At 36.6% G+C, this 7,442-nt stretch overlaps 1 annotated feature.

Annotated features, from left to right (window-relative positions):
- Positions 6,662-6,956: an enhancer, noted in NCBI's record as "tiled region #10717; HepG2 Activating DNase matched - State 6:EnhF". NCBI's record gives its function as "activates a minimal TATA promoter and a strong SV40 promoter by Sharpr-MPRA in HepG2 cells {active_cell/tissue: HepG2}" and the evidence as "EXISTENCE:reporter gene assay evidence [ECO:0000049][PMID:27701403]".

Here is a 7,442-nt window from a genome sequence, read left to right as displayed (position 1 = left end):
AGGGATTGGGGTCCTATCTTCAGCTTCCTTAAACAAAACAATTATCAGCCAAGAATTTTGTATCCCGCAAAACAAAGCTTCATAAATGAAGGAAAGATACAATCTTTTTCAGACAACAAATACTAAGATAATTCACCACTACCAAACCAGCACTACAAGAACTGCTAAAAGAAGCTCTAAATATTGAAACAATTCCTCAAAATACACCAAAATAGAACTTCCCTAAAGCAGAAATCTCACAGGACTTATAAAACAAAAACACAATAAAAAAACAACAACAACAAGGTATTCAGGCAACAAATAGCATGATGAATAGAATAGTACCTCACATCTCAATACTAATGTTGAATGTAAATGACCTAAATGCTCCACTGAAAAGATACAGAATGGCAGAATGGGTAAGAATTCACCAACCAAGTATCTGCTGCCTTTAAGAGGCTCACCTAAAACATAAGTGTTCACATAAACTTAAGGTAAAGGAGTGGTAAAAGATATTCCATGCAAATGGACACCAAAAGCAAGCAGACGTAGCTATTCTTATATCAGACAAAACAAACTTTAAGGCAACAGCAGTTAAAAAAGACAAAGAGAGACATTATATAATGATAAAACGACTTGTCCAAGGGGAAAATATTACAATCCTAAATATATATATGCACCTAACACTGGAGCTCCCTAATTGATAAAACAATTACTACTAGACCAAAGAAATGAGATAGCAATACAATAATAGTGGGGGACTTCAATACTCTACTGAAAGCACTAGACAGAAAGTATAATCTTTAAGACAGAAAGTCAACAAAGTAACAATGGATTTAAACTATACCCTAGAACAAATGGAGTTAGCAGATATTTACAGAACATACTAGCTAATAACAGCAGAAAATACATTTTATTCATCGGCACATGGAACATTCTCCAAGACAGACCATATGACAGGCCACAAAACAAGTCTCGATAAATTTAAGACTTTTAAATAAAATTAAAAATAAAATCAAAATTATATCAAGTACTCTCTCAGACCACAGTGGAATAAAATTGGAAATCAACTGCAAAAGGAACCCTCAAAACCATGCAAATACATGGAAATTAAATAATCTTCTCCTGAATGATCTTTGGGTCAACAATGAAATCAAAATGGAAATTAAAAAATACTTTGAACTGAGCAATAATAGTGACACAACCTATCAAAACCTCTGGGGTATGGCAAAGGTGGTGCTAACAGGAAAGTTCATAGCACTAAATGCCTACATCAAAGAGTCTGAAAGAGCACAAATGGACAATCTAAGGTCACACCTCAAGGAACTAGAGACATAAAAACAAATCAAACCCAAACCCAGCAGAAGAAAAGAAATAACAAAGATCAGAGCAGAACTAAATGAAATTGAAACAAAAATAAAATACAAAAGATAAATGAAACCTAAAGCTGGTTCTTTTAAAAGATAAATAAAATTGATAGACCATTAGTGAGATTAACCAAGAAAAGAAGAAAGAAGATCCAAATAAGCTCAATTAGAAATAAAATGGGAGATGTTACAACTAATGCCACAGAAATATTATACAAAAGGTCATTCAAGGCTACTATGAACACCTTTACGGGCATAAACTAGAAAACCTAGAGAAGATGGATAAATTCCTGGACATATACAACCCTCCTAGATTAAATCAGGAAGAAATAAGAACTCTGAACAGACCAATAACAAGCAGCAAGATTGAAATGTCAATAAAAACAATTGCCAACAAAAAAAAAAGTCCAGAACCAGACGGATTCACAGCTGAATTTTATCAGACATTCACAAAAGAATTGGTACCAGTCCTATTGACACTATTGTACAAAGAAAGAGGGAATCTTCCCTAAATCATTCTATGAAGACAGTATGACTTTAATATCAAAACCAGGAAAGGACATAACAAAAAAAGAAAACTACCAACCAATAACTCTGATGAATATACATGCAAAACTTCTTAGCAAAATACTGGCTAACTATATCCAACAGCATATCAAAAAGATAATCCACCATGATCAAGTGGGTTTTATACCAGGAATGCAGGAATGTTTTGTCAAACACAAGTCAATAAGTGTAATACACCACATAAACAGAATTAAAAATGAAAATTAGGTGATCATCTCAATAGATGCAGAAAAAGCATTTGACAAAATCCAGCATCCCTTTATGATTAAACCCCTCAGCAAAATCAGTATAGAAGGGTCATTCCTTAAGGTAATAAAAGCCTTCTATGGCAAACTCACAGCCAATATTATACTGAACAGTGAAAAGTTCAAAGCACTCCCCCTGAGAAATGGAACAAGACAAGGATGCCCACTTTCACCATTTCTATTCAACATGGTACTGGAAGTCCTAGCCTGAGCAATCAGACAAAAGAAAGAAATAAAGGGCAGCCAAATCGGTAAAGAGGAAGTCAAAGTGTCACTGTTTGCTGATGATATGATTGTATGCCTACAAACTCACAATTCTCATCAAAATACCACCATCATTCTTCACAGAACTAGGAAAAACAATCCTAAAATTCATATGAAACCAAAAATGAGCCCACATAGCCAAAGCAAAACTAAGCAAAAAGAACAAATCTGGAGGCATCACATTACCTTACTTCAAACTATACTATAGTCACTGGTATTTTTATACCAGCACCATGCTGTTTTGATATAAAAATAGGCACAGAGACCAATGGAACAGAATAGAGAACCCAGAAATAAAACCAGACACTTACAGCCAATTGATCTTCGACAAAGCAAACAAAAACATGAAGTGGGGAAAAGACATCCTTTTCAACAAATGGTGCTTGTGATGTTTGGCAAGCCACATGTAGAAGAATGAAATTGGATCCTGATCTCTCACCTTACACAAAAATCTACTCAAGGTGGATCAAGGACTTAAACCTAAGACCTGAAACCATAAATATTCTAGAGGATAACATTAGAAAAAGCCTTCTAGACACTGGCTTAGGCAAAGACTTCATGATCAAGAACCCAAAAACAAATGCAACAAAAACAAAGATAAGTAGATGAGACTTAATTAAACTAAAATGCTTCTGCACAGTAAAAGAACAATCAGCAGAGTAAATAGACAACCCAAAGAATGGGAGAAAATCTTCACAATCTATACATCTGACAAAGGACTAATATCCAGAATCTATAAGGAACTCAAATAAGGAGGAAAGAAACAAACAATCCCATCAAAAAGCATACCAAGGACATGAACAGACAATTCTCTAGAGATACACAAATGGCCAACAAATACATGAAAAAATGTTCAACATCATTAATGATCAGGGAAATTCAAATAAAACCACAGTGTGATACCACCTTACTCCTGCAAGAATGGCGATAATCAAAAAACAATACATGTTGGCATGGATATGATGAAAAGGGAACACTTTTACATTGCTGATGGGAATGTAAGCTAGTACAACCACTATGGACAACAGTACAGAGGTTCCTTAAAGAACTAAAAGTAGAACTACCATTTGATCCAGCAATCCCACTACTGAGTATCTACCCAGAGGAAAAGAAATTATTATATGAAAAAGATACTTGTACACACGTTTATAGCAGCAAAATTTGCAATTACAAAAATATGGAACCAGTCCAAATGCCCATCAATCAATGAGTGGATAAAGAAAATGTGTCTTATATATACCATGGACTACTACTCGGCCATAAAATTGAATTAAATAATGGCATTTGCATCAACCTAGATGGAATTGGAGACCATTATTCTAAATGAAGTAACTCAGGAATGGAAAACCAAACATTGTATGTTCTCACTCATTAGTGACAGCTAAGCTATAAGGACGGAAAGGCATAAGAATGATTTAGTGGACTTTGAGGACTTGGGGGAAAGGGTGGGAAGGTGGTGAGGGATAAAAGACTACACATTGGTTACAGTGTACACTGCTCAGGTTATGGGTTCACCAAAATCTCAGAAAGCACCATTAAATAACTTACTTATGTAAGCAAACACCGCTTGTTCTCCAAAACCCTATTGAAATTCAAAAAGTAAATATTTATAATGCTAAACTTATTAAACATAAAAAAGTCAATGAGGAAGGATTCCACCCTACTCATTCTACAAGGTCAACATCATGCTGATAGCAAAACCTGGCAGAGACAGAATGATAAAAGACAACTTTTGGCCCATATCCCTGATGAACATAGATGCAAAATCCTCAACAAAATACTAGTAAACCAAATCCAGCAGCCCATGAAAAGGTGAATCCAATATAATCAAGTAGGTTTATTCCTAGGATGTAAGGTTGGTTTGACATACACAAATCAATAAATGTGGTTCATTACATAAACAAAACTAAAAACAAAAACCACACGATCATCTCAATAGATGCAGAAAAGGTTTTTGATAAAACTCAATATCCCTTCATGTAAAAAACCCACTACAAACTTGGCATTGAATGAACATATTCCAAAATAATAAAAGCCATCTATGACAGATCTACAGCCAACATCATACTGAATGGGCAAAAGCTAGAAACATTCCCCTTGAAACCCAGCAGAAGACAAGGATGCTCATTTTCACCACTTCTATTCAGCATAGTACTGAAGTTCTAGCCAGAGCAAGTAGGCAAGATAAAGTAATAAAAGACATCAAAATAGCAAGAGAGGAAGTCAAACTATTTCTCTTTCCAGATGATATACTTCTATACCAAAAAACGATATAGTCACTGGCTCCGAGATAAGATAACTTAAGAAAAGGCTCAGCATACAAAATTGATGAGCAAATAATAGTAAAATTTCTTTTTTTTCTTTTCTTTTTTTTTTTTTTGAGACGGAGTCTCGCTCTGTCGCCCAGGCTGGAGTGCAGTGACGCGATCTCAGCCCACTGCAAGCTCCGCCTCCCGGGTTCACGCCATTCTCCTGCCTCAGCCTCCCGAGTAGCTGGGACTACAGGCGCCCACCACCACGCCCGGCTAATTTCTTTTTGTATTTTCAGTAGAGATGGGGTTTCACTGTGTTAGCCAGGAAGGTCTCAATCTCCTGACCTCGTGATTCGCCTGCCTTGGCCTCCCAAAGTGCTGGGATTACAGGAGTGAGCCACCATGCCTGGCCAATACTAGTTAAATTTCTATACACAAATAACATCCAAGCTGAGAACCAAATCAAGAACATAATCTCATTCACAGTAACCACAAAAAGAATAAAATATCTACAAATACAGGTAACCAGCAAGGTGAAAGACGTCTACAACAAGAATTACAAGTACTGCTGGAAGAAATCAGAAATGACACAAATAGAAAAACATTTCACGCTCATGGATAGGAAGACTCAACATTGTTAAAATGGCCATACTGCCCAAAGCAATTTACAGATTCAATGCTATTCCTATCAAACTACCAAAGACAATTTTTTACAGACTTAGAAATAATCATTATAAAACTCATATGGAACTATAAAAGATCCTGAGTAGCCAAAACGGTCCAAAGCAAAAACAAAACGAAACAAAAATAAAGCCAGAGGCATCATACTACCTGACATCAAACTATACTATGAGGCTACAGTAACTAAAATAGCATGGTACTGATACTAAAACAGCCACATAGCACAGTGGAACATGTTAGACAACATAAACATAAAACCACACACCTACAACCATCTAATCTTCAACAAAGCCAACAATAACACACAATGGGGGAAAGGACTCCCTATTCAGTAAATGGTGTGAGGATAACTTGGTAGTCATATGCAGAAGACTGAAACTTGACTCTTACCATTCACCATATACAAACATCAACTCAAGATGGATTAAACACTTTAATGTAAAAGCTAATACTCTAAAAACTCTAGAAGAAAATGTAGGAAGTAACATTTGGACTTCTGACTCCAAAAGCAATTGCAACCAAAACAAAAATTGGCAAGTGTGACCTCATTAAACTAAAAAGTCTATGCACAGCAACAGAAATGAACAACAAACAGACAACCTACAGAATGGGAGAAAATATTCACAATCTATGCATCCAACAAAGGTCTAACATCCAGAACCTACAGGAAACTTAAACAAATTTACAATCAAAAAAACCCCATTGAAAAAATGGACAAAGGACATGAACAGACACTTCTCAAAAAGAAGACATACATGCAGCCACCATGCACATGAGAAAATGCTCATCATTAATCATTAGAGAAATGCAAAACAACACAGTAAGACACCATTTCACACCAGTCAGAATGGTAATTATTAAAAAGTCAAAAAATGATAGATGCTGATGAGGTTATGGAGAAAAAGGAATACTTACACAGTGCTGGTGGGAATGTAAGTTACTTCAGCCACTGTGTAAAGTAGTTTGGAGATCTCTCAAAGAATGTAAAACAGAACTGCCATTTTACTCAGCAATCCCATTACTGGATACATACCCAAAGGAATATAAATTGTTCTACCATAAAGAAACATGCATGCATATGTTCTTCACAGCACTACTCACAATAGCAAATACATGGAATCAACCTAGATGCCCATTCATAGTAGACTAGATAAAGAAAATATGGTACATATACACCATGGAATACTATGCAGCTGTAAAAAAAGAATCAAATGTTGGGATCCACTCAGGATGGTTGCAGAAATATTAAAGGGAAATATTAGGGAAAGTTATAGGGAATAGTCACAAACCTTTTTGGAAGGCCGAAAGGTTACATAGCTTGTAATAATTGAACAGACTGAAGGCAGCTGGTTCTTACCTTAAAGCATTAGGTCATAGGGTAAATACTAGGAACAATAAAGGCTTCCCCTGTTAAGTCTGTTTACCCTACCTCCATTAACTAACCTTTGAGCCAGATGGCCCTCTCGGGGGGAGGTCAACCAGGGATATTGCCCCCTAATAGTACTTACTGTAGACCGCATTACCTGAGTCATTCGCAGAACTACTCTCTTAACCATGTTAATTACATATATTGGTGTTAACTCAAGCTTTTGTTAACCAATCTTAATGAATAAATGCAAGCCTCCCGAGCTGATTGAGGCCAGCTGCAGTGACAAACTCTATTGGTGTGTAGGCGGTCGGACATTCAGCAGGACTGGCAAAACAGAATATCTGTGTTATCAGTGTACGTTTTATTCATCCATCATTTGGGTCAGGGTCTGCAGGCAGACCCCCGCAGCTAGTGCTCCCACGAAAGGAGCGCTGCCTCAATCAAATCATGTCCTTCACAGCAACATGGATTCAGCCGGAGGCCATTATCTCAAGTGAATTATTGCCGGAACACAAGACCAAATACTGTATGTTATCACTTGTAAGTGGAAGCTAACCTGTGAGTACACACGGACACAAAGAAGGGAACAAAAGACATTAGGGCCTACTTGAGGGTGGGGCATGGAAGGCGGGTAAGGATCAAAAAGTTATCTATAGGGTACTATGCTCATTAGCTGAGTCACGAAATAATCTGGTTACCAAACCCTCATGACATCCAG

This window comes from Homo sapiens, chromosome 3, assembly GCF_000001405.40.
Source record: "Homo sapiens chromosome 3, GRCh38.p14 Primary Assembly".
Taxonomy (NCBI): Eukaryota; Metazoa; Chordata; class Mammalia; order Primates; family Hominidae; genus Homo; species Homo sapiens.
This window is presented reverse-complemented; position numbering and strand designations above follow the sequence as displayed.